Source organism: Homo sapiens, chromosome 8 (assembly GCF_000001405.40).
Source record: "Homo sapiens chromosome 8, GRCh38.p14 Primary Assembly".
In the NCBI taxonomy this organism is placed as follows: domain Eukaryota; kingdom Metazoa; phylum Chordata; class Mammalia; order Primates; family Hominidae; genus Homo; species Homo sapiens.
In genome coordinates this window covers 132,818,895-132,843,680 of record NC_000008.11, presented here as the reverse complement: position 1 = coordinate 132,843,680, position 24,786 = coordinate 132,818,895, and the positions used below count along the sequence as shown (strand labels likewise).

Genomic DNA, 24,786 nt, shown 5'->3' with positions numbered 1-24,786 from the left:
AGGCAAAAACCTTTTACAAGTTTCAAAAGTACAAACTGCTTCACACACACACACACACACACACACACACACACAATGTGCGTTTGGATTTGCCAGAGATAACTCATTTTGCACATGGGATATTAATTAAACAAAATAACTTACCACAAACTTTATGATACGAAATACAAACGTTCCAATTCACTTAAGTACTTATTTATGGTAATTACTTGTTAAGGAATGCAGAAAAAAAACATCTAATTTTAAAGTGGCCTCATTAATTGAAAATCAGTAAAAAATAAAGGTACATTTCTAAGATAATCCCAGTGAACAGGAAATAAGTTTATAGATGTCCAATGCACATAGATCTGTCAGAATTCACCTTACTGAATAGTGGGATGCATTGACAAACATGCTAAAATTTTTTAAACAGACAATTAGAGTGCCACCTTTTATCTAACTCACATAAAGAGGAAGACAAATCATTACACCCATATGTACTTTCACATTCTTACACACTGACATTTTCGTTTTGAATACAATGTGGTTCATTTTTTAGAAGCATCGAAATGTACTTATACAATTGAAACTTTTGTTAGAGTAACAGTTTATTGAATTACTACAATTCTGAATTAGGAGATAATCAAATGTTCAAATGGCCAGTGTTTTCCTGTAGAGAAAACAAAAAAATCTCCTTACTTTAACAAGGTACTGGGGAACTTGGAAATACAACTAAAATCTGGGAATTCAGTATGCCTTATTTTATAAAATTTTCCTTTGTTCTTCTCTCATAGTTTCCAAGCAAAGAAAAATGAACTAGTTTTACCTTTTCAGGCATTCCATGTTCTTTTGCTGAGTACTGTAAACTGTTTTTACTTCTCATGTGGAATTCTTGTTCTTCTTCCAAACTACTAACATCATCATCATCTGAGCTCCCAGGGTCTGCGAGAGATTTACAGTCCTGACCAAAACTTTGTGGCTTTTGATAGCTATGCTCACTTGTTATATAAGTTCCTTCCATTTTTAGGGGCAAACGAGGTGGTTCTTTATGGTTCTGTACATATTTCTTTTCTTCTCGATTAACTGTGTCTTGAGCTATTTTTTTCTCCACCCCAGCTATTATTTGATCTTGGTCTTTTCGCTTCCCGGAACAAGCCCAGAGATGAAGGTCAGGATGATGTTTATTCCTTAAAACAAAGTTGGAAAAACAGCAGTTCAGAAAAAAAAAAAAATCTATTAACAAGCTGAATACAATGATCTATTTCAGAATTAGGTTAGGAGGACATCTAGGACTCAAGACAAAAGCAAAGGTAATCTTTAAATTAACTCCCTCCATGATTTCATCCAAAATTTGAATCTTCTCAATTAAAGAAATAATACTCAGAAAAGCAATAACAAATTTAATTGTGTTGATAGTTCACATCATCATTTGATACATGCATTTCTTTTTCTACTGATTTGTCATTGTCATTTTCATTGTAAAATTTGAAAAACTTTAATGTGAGCATATTTTAAAAACTTTTATTCAGTCAAAAAGTGATAACTCCTGATGACAAAAATCCTAAATATAAATGCACAGAAAGTAAAAATTTCCTCTCCCATGGCAAACATAAATAACTGAGGTATAATCTTCCAGACTTTTTCTGTATACCTAAAATTAGTTCTTAAATGGATAAGTATACACATCTTCTTGTGACACATCCAGGACACATACAATCTGCCTTTTTGTACGTAACATGCTAGGGGCATCTTGCCATATCATGTCATACAGATAGATTTCCCTTACTTTTACTCTAGGGCTGAAGAGTTACAAATGTACCAGTCGAGCCAACCAATTCCCTACCATTATATGTTTGTGTACCTGTGTGTGTCTTTGCACACAAGTCAGAATATTTCAGTCAGATAAATTTCTAGATATGGGATTGCTGGATAACATGCACATTTATTTTGATAGGTACTACCCAAGTGACCTCAAAAGGGATTATACTAATTACAACCCCATCAACAATCTTTGATAATGCCCATTTACTTCATCCTCACTGAACATGTAAGCATGATATTGTACAGTTAATTCTGCAGTAAGTAAAACAGGAATCCAATCATCAGAGCTGAAGTGAAAGGGCATTCGGGAGATATAAACCTTTCAAAAGGCTCAATAATGTTTGCATATTAATAATTTCCAAATTAGATACATACTGAGTCAAATTAGTTCTCTTCCAATAATACTCAAGTATTGTTTCTGAAATTATAAATTTTATCATTTGAATCCCTAGTAGTTTAATATTCAGAAAATACTAAAACACTCAATCAGTAAAAGGCATAGTAGAAGAAAAGCTGGCACTGCAGTCCAATAGTCCAAGGGGTTGAATTCTGCTGTGCCATAGAGAAGCCTGAACAAGTTACAAAATCTCTTTCACTACCCAACAATGAAATGAGGTAGCTTATGATAAGGATTAAATGAAATATCACATGAAAGCACATGACGTGTAGGACTTTCAATAAATCGTACATACTAACAGATATTATGATTTAAAATATTAACATAAAGAGGGCCTATAAGTATATGAAACAGAAAGGGCCAATTAAAATCCTTGGCAAAATTATGAATGCAGAGAAACTCATACTGATACCAAGAAGGAAATAAGGTTTTAAAAAAAGACCTAATAAATTATTCCCTCCCTTAAGTCTTAGCACTTACATGGCCTTTTAAAAAACAAATTCATATTCAGGCTTATGATAAAAAACTGAAGCAAATTTTATTCAACAAATAGTTACTGAGTACTTACCCTACACTATCAATTAGAGACAAAATGATGAATAGGACACAAGCCCTATTTTAAAGGATCCCATGACTTAGTAAGGGGAGACAAGCATAAAAAAATTAAGCATACCAAAGTGGCTGACACAAGTATGCGTGGAGTTTGCCAAGAAGAACATGGTCAACTCTAGTTGGGCAGGTAATTATGAAAGGCATCTGCTAGGGGCACTAGTGGTAGAAGCTTATCCTGGGTGTGAGTAAAGGCCTAGAGCGATGGAAAAGCTTGCTTCATTTAGGGATTATGGTTTGGGATAGCTGGGATGTTTGGGGGAAAAAGCACAGGGATTATGTGGCAACAAAAAATGGTAGACAGAGTATGTGTCATGGAAGGACTCAGTCCATTGGGCAACAGGAAGATGCTCTAGTACATTAAGTTGGAGAAAGACAAGCTGATATTTATCTTTTACTAAGCTTACACTGGCAGCAGTACAAAGAATGAACTGATAGAGTACAAGGCTGGACCCACAGAGAATGGACAAGCATGGCAATCGTTCATGTGAAATGTAACAACCTGGCTGAGACAGTACCAGTGAGAAGTGAGAGAGGAACAGACTGAACAATGTCCACAAATTGCAATGGATAGGATGTGAAAGACACAAGGATGGGAAGGGAAGGAGAGGATGGGACAAGTGTCTGGCCGAGGCAAGTGCATCCAAATGAAGAAAATCTTGTGAAGAACCAGTGAATCATCCTGTTTTTACCTAAAATGTGGGTTTTTGTTTGTTTGTTCTTTTAAAGAAGAATTCCAGTCAGGCATTAGGAAGGACTGGAAATAAGGACTTCAAGAATATTCTGATACGTTCTTTAAAGACTTGTTTAAGAGAAAATTGTATGGGATGACTAACATATTTGGTGCACAGCAGAGAAGTGAATTCGGTTTGTAGGCTCCCTTCATCACCTTTAAATCAATCTTTATAAAAAAAAATACTCACCCTGCTTAGAATCTATTTCATTTGATAGCATTCCTGAAGGAGGACACAACGTATAGGGTTCACCACAGCAACTGCACTTAATTTTGCACATACGGTAAGCATACAAAACAGTGGGACAGGAGCTAAAATGTGTTGAAATACTAGATGCCGTATCTACCTTTAACCACACTTACACATTCTAGAATAGACAGGAAGCACCAACGCATCCAAAAGGTTGTTAATCTTTCCTTATTTTTAAAAATGAAACTTTATTCAAATACCTGTTCTCTCCTCCAAACTGTTACTCTGGACCATCAAAAGGCCAACAGTGTTGGTTTGAATTAAAACGTCCACTGAAGTGTGACCCTCCCTTTGCTGCCCTTCACTTACTTTAGTATTCCAATCTTCAGCTGTAGCCCGTGTAGCACTTCTGTAACACCATAGACATCAGCAAGCAGGTGATGTGTAGAAACTATCTTTTTGGCATTGAGATGAGAATAATTTTCTTTGAAAAATGATAACCCGCACATTCTCCCATTATTCAACCACTCCTTATCATAACGATATTTTGCACTCCACCTCTGACCTGCAGATGAAGTTGATATTAAATCACAGAGGACTGCACTTACTCGGATTTTTCATCAACTGCTAACCTACTAACGTTGCTCATTAAGCAAGGCAAGCTCTAGCACTAGGAGCAGATTCAAAAAGAGTAAGACAGCGTTCTGAGGAACTGGTGCAGGAAGAGCTCCTCCACACCTTCAGCGTTCCTGCCCACCCAGGAGAAGAAACACCATTAAGGACATGGTCAGTGGCAGATGACACTTGCAAAGGGAACCTTGAGTGTACTGCTTTCAATGTTTTGTAGTCATCATCTGTCCTCTAAAAAGGCTCAAAGGGCTGGATAAAAACTAGACAGGGGTTATTTCTCTCACTAACCTTTGTTTTGAACTGGATGAACCATAGAGTTCTAGCTGAGTGAATAGGAACCCTTCCCCCATGTCTGTGATTTCACAGAATCCTATGAAATTCCATATCCTTCATGTTAATATAAATTAGATCCTATTACAACCAGGTGTTTATTGCCTGTGTCCCATACTATACTACTAGCCAGTTGAAGGCATGGTTTAAATCAATCATCTCACCACAGTGGCAAATAGAAGCCATCCAGTAAATGCTTCTGAATAAATAACAAATGTCTACATTTGTTATTGAATAAATACAATGAATAATGAACACTATAAATGTTGGTGAATGAACAAATGTCTACATTCATATGGCTGTGAATAATTAATTCTCTTGCTTCTTACTGTGACTTTTTTGTGACTTATTGTGACTTTTTTCTTTTTTTCCAATAGTCATGGGACCAATTCACCACATGCCTATTATTTGAGAAAACCTAGTTATTTCCTGCCTGGAGGCTGAAGTTAAATTCAATATGCAGAATATGCTATCTGAAGATCCTCTAGCATAGAAGAAGGCACCAAGTAGACAGCATGGTGGATTGAGAGTCAAAAGGCATAGATTTCATCTCAGTCTGCCTCATCAGTAAAATAAAGGCATCACAGGTAGTGTTCTAAGACCCCACCTGCTCTACAATGAGTCGAATATGCAGAACTGCCAGGTCAGTAGCATGCAAGTTCATAATGCAGATCTACTCCGATTGCCACAAATAAGCCTAGCTAGAAATGGATACAGAGGAACAGAGGCTAATTAATTCTTCTCCAGGAAAAAGTCACACCTCTTCCCTTCCAGTAGGATAGTAATTTTGTTGATAAATATATGCTAATGTATTTGTCTAAGTAATCAATGTGGAAAATAAAAATGTAACAGTGAAAAAATATTTTAAAATTTTAATACGGAAGTTGAGTCTAATTGACCAAGAAGTACAGTGAGTCCTCACTAAGGGTAATCAATAGGTTCTTGGAAACTGGCACACTGAATAATGAAATGAATTGTACTATAAGCTAATTGATACATACAAGTTAAGTTCCTATGGCATATAGCATGCTGTTTCATTTGGAGTCACAGTTTCCAAGAACCTATCAATGACATCATGTGAGAACTTGCTGTAGTGGTGGTGAACACAGCTGATACACTCTGGAATCCTGGAGGAGACATAGAGGCATCCTGGCAATCAGCACGGCACAGAAAGCCTTACCTGGTGGGTCCCGGCAGATATAGCAGATGTACTGCTCTGGAATGCTCTCCTCCAGCAGCCCCATGCACACGCTGTGTTGCCAACACAAGCACTCTTCACACTGCAGAAAACAGAGGAGTATTACAGTCACCCGATCCTCACTAGGAATAAGCTAGGAATAAGGATACATGCCCTTTCTTTGAATTGGCTGGCTTGGCTTCTTACTGCCACTATCAGTTTCATACTTATTTGACACAACAAAATCAAGCCATGACTTAAGATGAATTTTATCTTTGAAATGGTCAACTACTTCACGAACTTTCTTTTGTTGCACCTATTAGAATATGCTTTGATCAAGTACTTAAGTCATAATTTCTCTAATTTAATTCTCACTGATATTTAGGCAATCATATCATAAAACTCTTAAAATAGTTTATTAAAATGCGGAAATTAGGGGAAAAAAAAGTTGGTAGCAGTGTCTATACCAATGATCTCTTAAAGTACTACTTCTGTGGTGAAGTTATAAATTCATAGTTCCCTCCATAAAACCACAGAAAAATGGGAGGAAAAAAGATTACTCTTTCTTCATGCTCTCAACTAACATCTCCAAATCTTCTGGCATCACAAAATTTGGGTTATGCTTTCCTTTTATCTTAAAGATATCTTTCCTACAAGAAGAAGTTGTTAACTCCTGCAACAAAATTTTTCCTTTAAGAATACTGGACATTTTTATGTTTTAATCACTGACAAGTGAAGGGTGACTATAAATTATTATTATAATAATTCACATGAATGCAGATGAGGAAGAGAAAGGTTGCTGTAGCCTGCCCTTTCGTGTGAGGGTTTACCACCCTAATCACTCTAAAGAGTTTCAGTTTGAAGGCACTGAACTACATACCCTAGAAAAGGAAGAGAGATGCTAAAATAAGAACATTGTCTACTTTACTTAATGAGGAAATCTCCTAATCATTACTATGGGTATTTTCCACACAGTAAGTTAGAAACCACTATCTTCAGTAGTACAGTCAGTAAAGAAATAAAACACCGTGATGCATTTGCTGAGCACCTGAAACAACTAACTCATTATAGGGAAGAGAGGTTAACCAATTACCTGGATCATGAAGCCATTCTCCTCATCCATCTCACAAATACATCGCACAATTTCATTAAGAGCATCATCCTCATCCTGAGATTCCTCAAAATTGGTTGAATCAAAGTCCTGATTGTATTCATCCCCACTCAGAAGCAAACTCTCCGTTGAAGAATCATCTAGGAAGTCTACATCTGATAAGTCTAGAATATATACAAAAAGTATACTTAGAACAACTTTTCTATTTTCATGTTATTTTTCATAAAGAAAGGAGCTATGAGAAGTGAACATAAGCTATTAAACATTTTAAAAAGGGGGAGCAAACAAATAAGAATACTGTACTGTACTTGTCTCTGGACATGGAAACAAAAGATTTTTGAAGCTTAGGTAATTATGACTGCTTTATATCTTATAGTATACACTATTATAAGTAACTCAAAGTGTCTTTTAGACTTCATGCTTACAGAATTTATGGCTAAGGCTGATGTCAATAAATTTGCACAGTTTCCATACACTTTCACAAACATTATCCCTTCTGACCCTCATAAAAACCCTGTGTTGTCCCCTTGTGATTTCATAGTATCAGTGTGACACCACTGTCCGTGGACCTGGGGACAGGTGTGTGTAGTAAGCCCCCATTAGCCAGCACAAGCTGGCTCTAGCACACCACTGATTCTTCATTCTTTTTCTTCTTTCTTTTTTGGATTAATAAAGTGCTTTTTGAAAAATCACTTAAAAAAAAAAACTCTGAATTGTAAAGAGGACGGGTTTTATTATTCATACTATAAACAACTTCAGAGAGGTAAAGGAGCTTGCCTAGGGTCTAAAATCAACAATAGCATTATTGACAGTATCAGCAGCATCAACTACTATAGCACTTAGTAAGCACACAGTGCTATATTAAGCACTTTAAACACAGGATATATAACTTGCTTGAGAAACGCAGCCATGGAGTGGGAAAACCAACTGAATACCAGGAATGCCTGATTCTCAAGCCTGTGTTCTTAATGACTTTACCAGTATTTCTTAAAACCGGAACCGTGAGTTCCCCAAGGGATTTTTAAAATGTATTAATTTCGTCTTGGTAAAAATATATTTTTAGATTAAGCATATCCTAGAAACAAGACTATATGGATGACTACTACATACAACTCAATTTACATGTCAGGTTTTAGGCGTGTGTGTATAATAGTGACAATGCCAAAGCCTACCATTTTGCTCAGGTTACTGAGGAAAAGAAAATTGAGACAGACACGGGGGAATCTTTATTTATAACAATGGAAAGTAAATGATGATGGAACACTAAAATTTTTGCAGTAGTTTGGATGGAGAAATGTTAGGAAAACTGAGTCATCATGAGAAACAGAACATCGTATAATGCTGTGTGAGCTCCTGACAGAGGCTAATCAGCAGAGCACCTTCCTACCTCACATCCTATCCCCTAGCCACATTCTGAGTTATCTCTTCACTTGCTTATCATCTGTCTTCTCTTACTAGAATATCAGAATCCATGACAGCAAGAACTTTGCATTGTTGAATGCTACATCCCCAGTTATTAGAATGAGGCCTGATATATAATATAGCCACTCCAGAATGTTTGTAGAAGAACTAAGGAGAGAGTCAGAGAGAGAATATTTTCTTTTCAGACTTAATCAGATGGGACCGAAGTTGAACAGATTTGAACTTTAAAAATTCACGCTATTTATACTCTACATTTTTCACATGATTTAGTGTTTCCTCTATCAGCTTCTAATCTTGCTTACTTTTTTCTTCATTCAATGTTTTTGAATGTTTTGTTGTTGATTAATGTTTTATAGAAAAATAAAGTTTTCTTCTCTTTGAAGTCACAGGGACATACGGAAGGAAGGTCAGCAGAAATAGATAATAAAGAAATATCTGAAAATATTCATGGAGCTAGTAAATCAACTAGATATGGAAAATCTAGTATGAACAGTATAACTTGTTTTAAAAGAACCTAAAGAGGAAAATTTCACCCATCCATAATCTTGCTGGCTTAAATCCAAATTTTCTTTTGGGCTTTCTCAAGTTCATTGGAATGTGGGTAAAACAGTTTCAAACACTGTTGCAGCATATAAACAGTATTAAATGGGCCGGGCACAGCGGCTCACACCTCTAGTCCCAGCACTTTGGGAGGCCGTGGTGAGAGGATCACTTTAAGTTAGGAGTTTGAAACCAGCCTGTACAACAAAGCAAGCCCTCATCTCTACAAAAGCAAAAATAATTTGCTAGGCATGATGACCTGTGCTGGTAGTCTTAGCTACTCAGGAGGCTGAGGCAAGAGGATTGCTTGAGCCAAGGAGTTTGAGGCTGCAATGAACTACGATCACACCAGTATTTCAGCCTAGGCAACAGAGCAAGATCTTGCCTCAATAAATAAATAAATAAAAATTAATTTGAAATTATATCATTGAAAGGAATTAGTGTATCTCACATATACTTGCATGGCAAAGATTACCAGTTTTATGGTGTTAGCAAGCAAATTTATCATATTCTCCACAAATCTAGTTTGAATAACTCCCAAGCATTAAACTTATGCTTAGCTGAGTTTTGGAAGTTGAGTAAAATGGATGACAGAGCTGAAAGTTATGTAAGAAGCAAATAAAAGTTCCCCCTTACGCTTGAATAGCCACCTAGACAATGGCTCCAACTGAGTGGCCACAAGAACAGCTGTTGCCTTCCAGCAACTACCCCTTAAATTGTCATTGCTATTTCCTGAGACAGCATTTTGCAAGTGTGGTTTCCTGATCAGCAACATTTATCATCACCGGGGAACTTGCTGGAACTCAGAAATTCTGAGGGTGAGGCCCAGAAATGTGTTTTAACACACTCTCTGGGCAGTTCTGACACATGCTAACATTGAGAATTTCTGGCCTAAGGCCTTATTAATTTTCCTTTTCTTTCTCCTGACTTAGTACTTGATCATAAGGGCAGGGCAGAGACTAAGAACAGAGAGTACACATCTATGGCTCTTTTCATGCTCTTTCAAGGGTTCTTGTTTCAGCACCACAACTAGCCTAGATATAACCCCTATTCTCCATCTTTCTATAGCAAGAGATAATCTTCAGATCTTGATGATTCACAGTAAGGATGTTCTTAATGTGATTATCAACCTCTGCTTCTCCATAGCATCACCTAGAAGTTGTATCTTGCCAGGATCCTTCCAGAAATCTCATTCAATTGTGCCTCATGGTAGGATCCATGATCAGTATAGTTTAGAAGAACCGCAGCAATGATTGTAAGGTTCACCGGGGGTGAAGAACCACTGAACCATGGGAAAAAGTAGACTTGTATTTGCTGGAAAAGGGTGGTGGTAACTTCTTTTTTAATCCCCTCCCATACCTCAAGGTTCTAAAAATAAAATCTCACAAGTGTCATGAGCTATAAAGGAAAGAAAATGCTTTCTCCATAACGAGCCAGGGAGGACTTAGACCTGGAAGCAAACGGTGCAAAAGCAAACATTTAACCTAGTATCCACCATCGAGGTCAGTCAGAAGAAAGAAAAAGGGAGGAAGTGAGCTCACTCACAAGGATCCTAGGTTGTACTTATGCTGAAGGCCCCGTCCCTTATTCCTCACTCTCTGACTCTGGTTGCTATTGCATTAGAGCTCTACTCTTATGCCACAGCCCTCAATGTCTACAGCTGGGATCTCTGTGCCTATTGCTTACAATATTGGAAGCAAGGTAAGAGTCTTCAACACTTTCCACTGTCAGGACTGGACCTGCAGGAAAGTCTAACAGATTTGAACTCCAGTGCTCCCTTCACTGCTGACGTGGCCTTCTGACTACCTAAGGGCGCTTAGTTCCTGCCTGTGTTTAAATCAGTTGTCTGACTACATCTCAGGACTTTGGTTACAGATGTATCTGACCAGGAATTCAAAGTATACTTTTAAGATTACCATAAATGTTTATTTAAGAAAGCATTATCTACGGAGTTAAGACAGACCTTGGTTAGAGTTTTAATTCTAACACTAGCTAAGCCGAAAAGCTACTTACCCTGTAAGTTTCGGCTTGTTTATATATCAAATGTGAATAATACCTACTCTGTCAGTTGATAGTGAAGAATATAAAAATATATGTGCAAAAACCTACAGAAGTATATACACTAGTAATATTTTCCTTATGACTCTCTTCCACCAATAAGTATAAAGCCAATTTAACTTTATATAAATTAAAAAGTAGCTCAAATTTCTCACATCAAGACTTTCATATTAGTTTAGCTAACAAGTTTTTAAATCGCATGCTCTTAACAGAGTACGTTTTATTCTCAGTTACACATTTAGGAATTGTAAGTCTTGTTTTAACCATCACATGGTTACACATACTTTCACCACTAAGATCAACGGATAGAATTGCCCTTGGGTACTGATAGGTTGTAGTTTTCTCCGTAAACATGCTTCGTGAAGCCAGAGAACTCCCAGAAGATCGAGTTAGTGGAGAAGAGCACCTTTCCAAAAATTCGAGGGAACTGTCTTCATAGTCTGAATAGTCTGCAACATAAGATACAGAAAGAAATATTAATAAAGTGTCAGATAATTAAGGTCACTATAAAAATAACGAAAGTCATGTTTCAGGATACACCAAATAATCATGCTACCACTTTCGCTTCTCATCCATGAAAAGCTACATATGGATCTGATGAACTGGGTTTAGCAAGAACACTTGGGAAACAAATATACCCCAGACAATATATACATAGTAGGGGGCACCAGGTTCTAACTGGTACCTGTAAACTTTTGTGAAGTACTATAGAGGTGAAAAAGGATTATTTCACATTTTCTCTCCATTATAATCACAACTATGTCTGCAGTAAAATATGCAAGATGACAACACATGGACACATGGGGAAGAACAACACACACTGGGGCCTGTGGGAAGTGGGGGAGAGCATCAGCAAGAACAGCTAATGCGTGCTGGGCTTAACACCTAGGTGATGGGTTGATCTGTGCAGCAAACCACCATGGCACACATTTACCTGTGTAACAAACCTGCACATCCTGTACATGTACCCCAGAACTTATTCGGTTGGTGCAAAAGTAATTGAGGTACTTTTGTACCAACCTAATAAAAGTTGAAGAGGAAAAAAAAAAGATATGCAAGATGGAAATTCACCTTTTTTCTTCCCCACAATTCGTAAAGAGGTTCTCCTGATGTCTGGCACACCAATTATACAGTGATAATCTGATCAATAAATTTTTCAAGTAATAAATCTCTGAAGGTAATTAACTAGTCCTGGAAGAACTCTGTAAAAATTCTGTTTTTCTCAGTTTTGTAATGAGTCCCACAGATGTGTGCAAGGGGAGAGGCCATATGCAGCTTACTGGAGAGTTGAGGGTATAGTAAGGGAAGGAAAAAAGGAGGTGGGGGTGTGATTCCAGGCATGTGGGAAGGCTCTGAAGCTGAAGAGTGCATGCCACATTTGGCAAGCTGTAAGACTGGCTGGAACACAGTGAATAAGGGAGAAACAAAGCTAGAGTGACAGGAGCCAGATTAGCTTTTTTTAAAAAGTTTTACCCTAATGCAATAAAAAGTCATTCAATGCTTATGTGGAGGAGGAGCAAGATGTGACAGTTTCATTTCCAGAGGATCACTCTAGCTGTGGAATGGAGGATGGAATGCAGGAAGGCACACATAGAAGTGGGGGGACAGTTCAGAGGCTACAGCAGTAGTCCAGGAAAGAAATGTTGGTGGCTCAGAACTTGGGTGATGGCAAATAAGGGGAAGATTTTAAGGAAGATGGAGTGCTGTTATAGACTGGAGGCCGAGAGCTAAGACGGCATTATCAAGATTGATTTCCAGGTTTATGCGTGAGCAACAAGGCAACAAAAGTGGGTATGAGATGGGGCTGAAGAGTAAATGCAAGGTGGAGAAACCAGAGAAGAAACAGAAGTTTAGAAGAGGGCTCTGTAAGATGGGAAATCTTACACATTACCTACATGAACCTTAAGATGTGGGAAAGGGGGATGGCAGTGGTGAGAAATGCTAGATTAAGAAAAGCAGACATTCCCTCCATTTTAATAGAGGCTAAGATGATGAATATTTTCATGTAAGCATGCAGATGTGGTAGATAGAGTATGAGCAAGTTCCCACCTGATGATGTCTGTCTTCTCAACTCTGTGAGGAAAAGGATGTCAAGTGACGCAGGTTAGGGAATACATGAGAGGTGGAAATGAGAGATGGAAACGAGTGGGAAAAAGGAAAGACAGAGAGTGGAAAAGTGAGCTTATAAGAGACGCATTGGTCTGTGCTAAGTATCCATTTGAAGGTGGCAGCTGTGGGAGACAGAATAGTCTGCCAAAAATGTCTATGTCCTAAACCCTAGAACTTTTAAATAAGCTAAGCTATGTGGAAAAGTGGAATTAAGGTTGCTAATCGGCTGACCTCACAACAGGGAGAGTATCCTGGATCATATGGGTGGGCCCAATGTAATGGCAAGGGTCCTTAAAAGTGAAAGGATGGAGGCAGAAGAGATGACGTGAGAGTGAAACAAGATGAGAAAGACTGGACCACTGCTGACTTTGAAGATGGGAGCAGGACAAGAGCCAAGCAATGCAGAAGCCTCTGGAAACTAGAAGAGGCAAGAAAACAGACTGTCCCTAAGAGCCTCCAGAGAAAAATGGAGCCCTGTTGATACCTTGGTTTTAACCTAGAGAGACCCATTTTGGACTCCTGACCTCCAGAACTTTAAGATAATAAATACATATTTTTTTAAACCACTGATGTGCAGTAATTTGCAACAGCAGCAATGGGAAACTTACACTCATCATCATAAATACCACGGCACAACCAACACTGATTGAGGGCTCTCTATGTGCCAAATGCAATTTTCAGTTCTTTATGTGTATTAACTCTTTTAATCCTCACAAGCATCTAATGAGGGAAGTAGGACTGCTAGTAAAGAATTGAGGCAAGACAGATGAAGCAAATTGCCCAAGAATATACAACTATCAATAGCAAAGCCAACATTCAAACCCAGGCAGCCTGACTATGGAAGCTACACTCTTAACAAATAAGTGATATCGGTGTATTTCAACATTTAAAGGGTGCACAAGCTGGCAAGCTTGTTAAACCCCAGATTCCTGGGCCTCATCTCCAGTGCACTGGGAATGAAACACTCCCAGATGATGCTGATGCTGTCAGATTACAGCAGTCTTTGGGCAGCACTACGCTATTCTGACTCCAGTGGCCTCACCATAACCACAGTTTGCCCAACACCATATTACTTAGGCCCAGACATGGAAAGGACATTTATTAAATGCCAGGTACTGTATCAAGTACTTTACAATGATTACTTTATTTAATTCGAATAATAAATCTATGCAATAAAACTATCAATTACCATTTATTTTAGAAGAAAGGAAACTGGGATGTAGAGAATTTAAATAACCTGTCAAAGGTCGCTTAGCTGTAAGTGTTACGGGCAGGATTTGAATACCTATACTAAACCTTCAAGGCTGCCTTCTTATCAACTCCATTATATATTGTCCTTTCAGCAAAAGTAAAAGTAGAAGCAGAATCTGATTGTAAAAACAATGAAAGAAATCTCAATTTTGTACTAAAATAAAACATGGCTGATATTTAATAGGTAAAACTTGGCATTCCGCACCCTGTCTGTATTCCCCACTTCAATTCCCTCTGGCTATTATGAATAAAAGTCTGTTATGTTTCAAGGCTTAGATCAGAAGTAGTCTCCTACATAAAGTCCCTTCCTTGATCATACCAACTTTTCTAGCTTAAATATTTATTTTGTACCACTCTTACCACAAATATCAGACCTTCCTGGTAGAGATTTATGTATGCTTATCTCTCTTACCATATACTTCAATGACTTACAAGCTCCTCGAAGGAATCTTTTTTACTATGCAATGCTTTCAATTCTCTTTTCACTTCTAACTCTATTTCTTTTTAATCTCTGTATGCCTGCAGTATCCTTATATTTACAGACACATGAAAGACAGATGAAGTGATTTGCTCAAAGTAACAAAGCTAAAAACTGGCAAAGATGACACTCTTAAATCCCAACATGGTGACTTCTCATACACACAAATTAAACACAATGTTAGTATTATGTCTTGTAAACCAATTATGTTAATCAAAACATATCTTAACCTACTACCTCATAAAATAATAAAAAACAACTAATCTAAATTACTTTGCATAACTGCATTAAAATAACAGGGACAAGAACTTAGTATGCCAATAAAAACAAGTAAAAACTTGTTGAAGAGAAGAATACACAGTTTGATAAACAGTATTTCAGGTATTAATAACATAGCATGGTGATTAGAGTTAAAAATTCAGACTTGTAAGTCAGACTGCTTGGATTTGAAATGAATCTGCTTTTCACCACTAGCTAGCTATGAGAGCTGGAGAGCTCTCTTTCTCACTCTCTCTCAGTTAACTGTTGGTAAAATGTAGATAACAGATCCTATTGTAAAGGGTTAATATGAGGATTAAATGAAGTAATAATATTTATAAAATGCTTAGTTTTGGGTACATAAGTACCAGCAGGATATATAAAATAATGTTGAGTGGTAAATAAAAGAAAGAATTTTGAAACTCCCTCATGGTGCTAACTGTAGACTAAAAAACATACTAGAAGCCTCATACAGTAATAATGTCAATTCTTTAACATTAAGATGTCTTTAAAATTTCAAAGTTACTTCAAATCCTGTATTTCCCACTTAAAGACCACTCTTCTAATTTAACCATCTGGGGAAAAGTGCCATTTCTAAGATAAAGTAAATAGCTCAGAATAAATTCTCCTCAAATGCAACAATTAATTACAAAGATGACAGTGATTATCAAACTCAACACCTGCTGTTTATAAACAGCAATGTTTCTGTGCATCTTACTAGGACTCTATTTACAAAGTTAAGATTTTCATTTGTAAGCCTGATTTCAAAATGTAAACAAATATATAAGGTTTTCTTTTTCATTAAAAAATAAAAATATATACCATTTAAAGTACGTTTTAATGGCTCTTTGTAAAGGGTTCCATAGTTAATGGCTGGTCACAATTCTAAGGTGAGGTTTTTTTGGCCATTTTTCCTCTATTAATCCTAATTGCTCCTCCTTCTCTCAAGTTACAATTTCCTGCCTTCTCTTAAGCTCTAGCCCTCATATTTTGCTACCAAGTGTGGGCCCCTTCTTATTTTGTTTTGTATCAGCTGCTGTTATCTTTTTCCCCACTTTCACAGGTATTTTGTATGTAAGATTCTGTGTCTGCTACTAAATATCAGAACAGAACACAGTTTGTTGCTGTGCCGTAAGATAACCCTGAAATAGCTGGCCATTCCTGCACTGACAATGCAGGTCTCCATTGGAACACCTAAGCTAGGCAAATCCCCTCAGAGCCTTTGGTCAGGTGGGAGTTCATCTGGAAGTTTTATTTGCAGCCTGAGCTTCTCATTTCTGTATTGTGACATACCACTCACAGAAGGGTATTCGGTAATCAAATGAGTTCACAGTGAATAGTTTTTGTTTACCAAACTCCGGAGTTTCCTACCTCTACATCATTTCTAGCTTGAATTCCACAGTTACATATGAAGAGGTGATGGGGGGGTGGGCAGGAGGGAAAGGAGTGAGGCGCAAGGCACACACAGAAGTGCCCGGAAATGTTCAAGACTCTCTGGAAAGCCGTTTCAAGCTTTGAACCCCATTTTGATCCTGTATCTTCAAATTTACTCTGGCAGCTTTAGAATTCGAGAATGTGAAAATTTCACATTCTGTGGGAAAATTAAATGTTATTTTTGGACTATGGAGAGAGCTAAAATCTGAAGAATTTACCAACAATGATTACCAACCACAAAACTGCCCGGTTGGATTTGTATTTTTTAAAACTGGTTTTATTAAATATCTAATAAATATGAAAAAAATGGGTATGACACAAAGAATATCAATAGCACAAAACACTTAGGTACTGATCATACAGTTTAAGAGAGTATCATCATTTTTGAAGGTCCCTTTGCACCATTTTCCAGTTTGAACTGATAATGGCCCTTCCCCACCTTAGAGGCAACCACTGTCTTGAATTTTTGTTCATCATTCTCTAGTTTTTCTTTATGCTTTTCCCACACACAGTTGAATCTCTTAAAAATACACTGTTTAGTTTTAAAACTTTTTTATCTTTATATAAGTGAAATATTATGTTTTCTTCAGTTACTTGGTTTTTAGCTTACCATTTTGTTCCTGAGATTCTGTAGCTGTAATTCATTTATTTATTCCACTGAAGGAATGCATGACTTTTGATGGAGAGCTGGGCTGCTCCCAGTGCTGCTGTGAACACTCTCATATTTGATGCACCGTGTGAGTTTCCTCACGGGTTTTTAGGCCACTTGGCGCACACATCGTCACCTTACTCCCTGGTCCCCATCTGTTTCCCACAGTAGTTGTGTAGTTGCCTTCATTTCCTCAGCAGCATCTGCTATTACCTATCTGGTTAGTTGTGCCAATACAGCACGTCTGAAACAGACTTCACTATGTTTTAACAATTGCGTTTCATCTAATTTTCTGATACAATTTTGCATACCAATCCTATGTGGTCATATCCTTTTAACACATTGTTAGATTTAATTTTATAACATTTATTTATGGATTTTGGAACTATGTCCATAAGTAAGAAGAGTTTGTGGCTGTGCTTTCCCACATTATTCTCTCCTGATTTTGATAGCAAAGTTACTTAAATCATTTAAAATAAATTTGGAGTTGTGTTCATTCTTAGGGGTGCCATAAGAAATTACCATAAATTTAGTGGCTTAAAACAACAGAAATTTATTCTCTCAAAGTTCTGAAGGCTGGAAGTCCAAAATCAGGGCTTGACAAGGAAGTGCTCCCTCTGGAAGCCCCCAGGGCCAAATCCTTCCTTGCCTCTTGCAGCTTCTTGTTCCTCTGGCTTCTTGGCTTGGGGCTGCATCCCTCTGATTTCTGCTCCATCTTCACATGGCCTTTGCTGATACCAAATTCTGTTGGTTTCTCAAATTCTTCTAAAAATATCTATTTCACTCTCATTCTTGAAAGCTAACTTAAGGAACTCTACAATTCTAGACTGAGAATAATTACTTGAGCATGCTAAAGGGTGCTTGGTCAGGGCATCGAGTCTACCATAATGCTGGAAGGAAAAATGTCTAATCAGTTGCAACAATTAAAGGCCAGAGTGCAACAATTATAGGCCAGAGTGAAACAGAGTAGTATATTTTTGAAATTTCATGTCAAAGGAAAGCTACAGAAACCTTTCAGTTCTCAACACGGGACACGGGGATCGTGTCATGACTCCATTTTGTAAAAGAAAAGGGGAATCAAAGGAAACTTCAAATTTTAAAAAAAGAGGGAATAATCATCTCAGTGTACTTACCATGTTGCTTAGATTTCTTTTTCTTTTTTTTCTTCTTCTTCTGTTTTGGTCTGTAGTGATCTTTGTCTCTCTTCTCTCTTCTTTCCTTATCTTTTTCTTTTCTCTTACCTAAAAGATAAAAGTGAATACTTTAGCAATCACGACTGATCCTGAGTTGTTCCTTTGTGGTTAACCTAAAAGCAGCATTTATGTTTTAATCAGCTATTCCAGTCACCTGCCCAGAGTGGATGGGTTCAATTAAACTGTTCATGTCATGACTCTGGAAGTCCTGATAAGCTTATTGGACTATAAGAGGGGATCTTCATTAGCAGTGCTGAGAAATCCCAACTCCTGATACCTTAAAGTTAACACAGACAGTAGTTAAAACCTTCAATGAGTAATATTCTCAATTTCCTGATGTGGTAAGAAGTTAAACTCCATAATTTACAAAGGACCTGAATGAAGAGACTCAGCATTTCCATATGTAATTTAATGAGAGAATAAATTAGGAGATTTAAAAAAAAAAAACCTGATGGACTTTTTGCTTTGGATAAGCTTTAAAAATAATTAAATCAATTCATAAACAACTCCTCCAGTCTTTATTTACATTCTTTGTGTGTTTAACAATGAAGGCTAAGAACACGAGGAAAAAAAAATATATTTCATTAAACTAATTTTTCCAAAATTGTAAAGCATTCTTTTCCCCAATCATATGTACTTAAAAAAATAAATATTAGAGCAGTATCCTACATTTCAAATTAAATCATCACACATATCCTACTAGCTATTGCTCCAACTCACAATGGTTTAGCCTATAATTTATCCAACATATTTGACCAACTTTCAGTGATTCAAGCTCCAGTTAACTAATCTACAGTATATTTAAGACTATCATCCATTATTTTGTGACTTTTAGTCATTACAGCACAGAAAATAGTATAGCAGAAAACTCAATAACATTTTTATAAACTATAATGAAGAAGAAAGTGTGAAAAAATTACTATTTTAATCTAGCATCCATTCTCTAAAGTCTCAACAATATTAAATCGAGGTCTATTTTTGAATAGCCATAATTTTGACTAGGGATGATCATAAACACAAAAGTTCCTTTGGAGAAAGCAAGAGACTCTCTTGACAAAAAAGTTACATATAAAACAAGATATGTGTTTAATAAATCATGTATCTGGAGCTGACTAACACTAGTAGGAACTAAAACAGATGATCACTTACACCTAAGGTAGCATTAACTGGTAAAGAGTAAGGGGCAGACTATGTCCTCCCTCTCTGTCAAGCTTTATAGTCTTTTGCTTAAAGATTACTTTCTGTTCATACCAAATGCTGTTGAGCTTTTGTCTTCCAATTTCACTTTTTTTTCTGTTTTCGATATTCCTGTGGGTTAGGGGAAAAATATGTAAGTTTAATCAGAAAAACTTAAAAGTATGGGACAATATTTTACATTACAATTGCTCATAAAACTCTATGTAAGACTCTTTTTCTCCTAACGGTCTACATGTTTTACTGCCTGAACTGGTAACAAAGCGGTGAGATTTCTTACCTTAAAAAACAACCAAAACAATAAATTAAATGTGATTTTTGTTATTCAAACTACTCAGGTTCAACATCTGGTTCCACCACTTACTAGCTCTGTGGCCTTGAGGACATCATTTAATGCCTCTGTGCTTCTGTTTCCTTATCTGTCAAACAGGAATAAGTCTGTATACCTCATGCAGTTATAAGGATTATGTGAGTCAAAATGTGGAAGATGTCTAGTCCAAAGACTGGTAAATACGTAATTTTTTTCATTTTCTCCTTTGTGGTAGGGTAATAATTTGACACTACACTATTTCCAGAAATAGCATAAATATGGGTCTAACCATAAAGAAAAAGTTAACTGTACTAGGCCATCAGTAAAGGTCTACTCTAGCACCACAGCCTTCGGCAATCCAAAAGATACTGAAATTCATCTGAGTAGTAGTTCCAGGTACCATTTCTACTTCTGTGACAGTTATGACATGAATGCTATCTGGATTATCCAAATGAAATATTAAACTCCATATTAAAGCATACTGGTTTTCAACAATCTGTACACATTTTTAAAACTAACATTTAAGCTCTTGTGCCTAAAACAAACTTGTACCTTTGAACTCCATCATGAATGCACTGTTAGGTAATGATAATAGCCAAAATAAAACTGTTCTGCAAACCACTTTTGTTCTATATATAAATGTAAAATACAAAGACATACTTATACATTAAAATATTCAATCTCAATAAATATTCCAATAAAACATAGGTATTATTAATAGTCCAAAATTCATTTTTAAACCAATATTGCACCTTTAATTACTGTGCAGCTGACACAGGTACATTTAATCAATTCATATTCAACCATTCCCAATGCTAATATCTATTTGTGGCTAGTGTTCATCTAAGAAAAATACTACAGTACATTTAAAATACAATTTTAGTCTATTAAATTATGCTTTAATGTCACCATTTACCAGTTTAATTTTTTAAGATCATTCTACAACAGTATCAAAAAATCTGAAATTTCATTCATCTTACTTCAAATATTTTCTATCATTTAAATATAATAAAAATATAAAAATACCACTCAAATCAAGTGCCAATAAGGCTCTAGCAAGTAAGTTTAAACCTAAATAAGAATACCAATAATCTCCATTTGTTATGACAGAAAAAATGAAAGGGATATCACAGCAAAGAGAAATACAATTAAATTTTCTTATTAGCAAGACTGTTGAAGAAATGCATCCCTTCTGTTTACTACTTGCTGCACTATTAGAACTTTATAAATTTGATGCAATTTCCTTGAAAACAATAAAGCATTTACAATGCAAACCATGAGGCATGTGCTTTCCAAATCCTCAGTGGTAGTACAGATACATTCAGATATATTGCTAACAGTGATCATTGCCTCTTAGGTTCTTACATCTCTGGAGCACTGGATCTCTAGGGAAAAGGTGGAACAATGATGTTTAGAATCTCCTGGAGTGGGGACAGGGAGTCAGATTAAAGGAACTGCCTTACTAGGCTACTTTTACTGAATGGAATGTGTGCACCCCTTAGGTACTTGGAAGACAAATAAAACAGTTATGAACGACTGCACCAGAAACACGGAAGTTAACACAGCAGAAGAGATGCAGTCATTCCCAGAGTGGGGTCCAGAGAGTCAGTTCGAGATACTGTTTTTACTTGTTCTAGTGGTTCCCAAACCTTTCGATTTCATAAATGATAAAATTTCAAGAGTAAAACTGGGAGACTCATAAAGGGTTGTCAATGTTTTACTCAAGTAAGGATATTAAAATAAATATTCATATATGCAACGGCAGGACTTTAAAAAATACACACAAATAGGAAAACAAAAGAGACCATTCCAGAAGTCAACAAGAAAAATAAGTTTAGTTTTACAAGAAGTTCACGATCTCGTCCTTATTTTACCACGTGCTAGAATTTGGTGACCAAAGTACCAGAACATTAGTTTGTAGAATAGTAATTTTTAAACTAAATTTTAGCAACAGAACATTAAAAAAAAATTATCTGGCAGCTGAATACAAAACGCAACAACAAAAACCAAAACACAAATGGAGCTACTCTAGTTAGAGTCAGAGAGGCAGATCTCTGAACCATGCCTGCCTGCACACAACTCAAAAAACTAGTAATGTAGAGTGATTTCTCAAGCCTCTTCTGGTATGCTAAACATTACAGATTCTTCTGACTAAAAAGAGAGGCAATCCCTGAGACTCTCCATAGAAACCCCAGGCTCTGTAGAAGCCATGAACATTTGGTATGAGGGTGGAGGCAACAGAGTCTCCAGCTGTAGTTTTGTTTTGAACGAATCTGGAAAATAAACTGAAAAACAATTTAAAACAAAAAGACTTTTAAATAGTAAATGTAAAGTTGATGTGAGATGTTGGAATAAAAATGAAGGCCATTTCAAAACCCACCACAGGCAGATGAGGTAGAACTGACAAGATGCTTTTTTGCCATACTTAGACCAACCCCATGACCTACTTCTGTTTTTCACTGGTGATAAAATGGATTATATTAACCAATCGATAATATAATTCATGAACACTCTACAGAATATTCACTAAGAAGAGTCCAACTATCTCATCTATGATAGTATCATAGTATCTATGTAAGTATCTATGTAATAAGTAAATACATTTACTTGCATCTACATTTCATTCAAAAACTAAGATGACTTTGAATGACACTGAAGCAAAGCCTGATGCATTTCATCGAATGCTACCCGAAAACTCAGGGGACCTGCTCATGGACATCCTGACGTTACATAAAGGTACACTCTGCATGGCCACGTCAAGCCAACATTCCTATCCATGCTAACTAAGACATGCTGCAATAAAACAGGAAAATGCTCCTTGAAACTTATTTACTAATTTGCTAAAAAATAAAAAAAAAATGAAGATGGGTTACTAAAGGTATTTCTTTTAATACAAGAATAACTTTTTAAAATGGCTCAAAATTATATGCATACAACCTACTAATGCCAATTTTGTCTTCACAGTGGTTACAAACAATAAGTTATCATCTCTAAGGCTATCTTAATTGACGTTTTTAAGCAAAAATAATCCTACATCATAATCTTTTTTTGGAATAAACATAGACTCTATCAAATGCCTGATTAATGATAAGTAAAACATCAACATTGTAGAGCCAAAAGTGACCACAGACATCATCTACTATAATCTCATCATATAGATGAAAAACTGAGTTTCAAGGAAGCAGGAAGAGAAGGCAGATGGTTTGTCTCTCCAGAGTTTTTAAGAGGCTCTACCAGAGGCCTCTTGGGGCAATCTTTTGTTCCTTTACACCCAAGAGTACTTTACACCTATTCAGGCACTTAATCTTGCTTTAAATATTTGTATTTCAGTTATTAGCTTTGTGTCCCTTCTAGACTCTAAGTTTCCAGAAGGCAGATTCCACATCTGTTCACACTGTGCTTCCCACCTAAAGAGAATTGTGTTGACAAGGGGCAATAGATAACTGTTGGCCCAAGGTGCCTGTGAGAACCTGAACCAAGAGTATTTTTCAAAAGACCCCTTTTCAAAAAACTTGATTTACTCTATCCTCCCAGATACTAACAGAATTAAGATTTTCTGAGGCTGTATCCTTATCTAAAATTGGCTGGCTCTGTGACAAAGCATCCTGATAGTAAAATAAAAACAAAGGCATCAATTTTTACAAAGATACCAATTACTTGTTTGGTAATGTAGGCAGCAATAGCATTCTTAACAGTGGCTAGACATGTGGGCATCCACCCCAGCAGAAGAACATACGAGAGATTATTGCAAGTTCATTATCTCTATTGGAAAACAATTAAGAAAAGTTGTATATAATAATTGGACTATCTGCAAATCTCATCAATCCTTCAGCATCAAATGCTAAACTCAACAGTGTGAATTTATCTTGCTCCCCCAAAAGTAAAAACCTAACCATGTTGAACAATTTCACAGTTAGCAACTAACACCCTCATCATTCTAAACTCCCCAAGAGTTTCAATTTGACAAAAATAACTCAGAAAATGTCTCTGACGAACTGTAAAGAATGTTTTCAATTATCAGTTTTAAAATTCAACAGTAAGAAAATTTACTTTTATAATATGGACACCAACAAAACATACATGTGTGTATGAGTATGTGCATATATGTACATATGTATCAGAGAAATAAAAACATAAAAACCTGGCACTTTGGCTCTAGATGTAAAAGGACTTGGGGAACAGACAGAAGCATAACAAATACTGCAAAATAGTCAAGAGAGGGTGAATAACAAAAAGGTTAAGGAGAAAAGCATAGAGACCACCGAGAATTTCAATGCACGTGGGACAGGCACACAAGGTTGTAATCAAAAGGTGTTCAGTCAGAACATGACCTAAATTGCACTACTTTCCTCAAAAACTAAAAATTAAGAGGTCACAGAAACAAATGAGAATTTCACCTCCCTCTATTCAAATACTGTGTTCAACCCTCTAATAAATCTTCAGTAATTAACAATTAAAACTATGCATTTCCTTGCTATAATCAATTAAAGTTGACAGCTACTGTACTATTAAGCTCATCATATCCAGATAATCCTTACTCTTCCACAAATTCAAATTATAGCTAAACTCCTCTCTACCTTTTACTTTCCCAGAAAACGATCTTACTTATTTTACTTTTCCAATAGTTACTGCTAATATTTAAAAAGGGAAAGAATATTCGTGTGCCTTCCTCTAAGGTAGTCAGCCACATTGCCACAAATATGCTAGAAATTCTGAAAAGAGGAAGTTAATAATCTGGTTAGAAGCAAAATCATCGAAGTCAAGGACTTCCATGCACAATCACTACATTGATATTTTATGATATATAATCTGTTAATGTAAGACTCTTAGTTATTACACAGTTACTTATATTGGCCTATATTTCAATATTGTTACAAATATTAGAATACTTTTAAAGAAAAATGTAAATATTT

At 36.3% G+C, this 24,786-nt stretch overlaps 1 protein-coding gene across 29 annotated transcripts in view, besides 1 other annotated feature; it reads right to left on the bottom strand.

Moving 5' to 3' along the window:
• Nucleotides 1-24,786, bottom strand: part of PHF20L1 (PHD finger protein 20 like 1) — a 73,420-nt gene that overhangs the window by 5,127 nt on the left and 43,507 nt on the right. For 23 of the 29 annotated variants that reach the window (XM_011517075.1, XM_011517077.1, XM_011517078.1 and 20 more), the window contains 7 exons: nt 19,621-19,677; nt 18,310-18,417; nt 11,282-11,446; nt 6,960-7,141; nt 5,870-5,969; nt 4,099-4,294; nt 806-1,166 (listed from right to left, as the gene is read on the bottom strand). In XM_011517075.1, the coding sequence (XP_011515377.1) occupies nt 806-1,166; nt 4,099-4,294; nt 5,870-5,969; nt 6,960-7,141; nt 11,282-11,446; nt 18,310-18,417; nt 19,621-19,677 (1,169 nt within the window). Of the gene's footprint in view, nt 1-805; nt 1,167-4,098; nt 4,295-5,869; nt 5,970-6,959; nt 7,142-11,281; nt 11,447-18,309; nt 18,418-18,521; nt 18,647-19,620; nt 19,678-24,786 lie in introns of those variants that run through there. The other 6 variants (XM_011517088.1, XM_017013516.1, XM_047421825.1 and 3 more) reach the window with 2 other exon arrangements.
• Nucleotides 401-540: a silencer, noted in NCBI's record as "silent region_19559". NCBI's record gives its function as "represses an Ori minimal core promoter by ATAC-STARR-seq in GM12878 lymphoblastoid cells {active_cell/tissue: GM12878}" and the evidence as "EXISTENCE:reporter gene assay evidence [ECO:0000049][PMID:35858748]".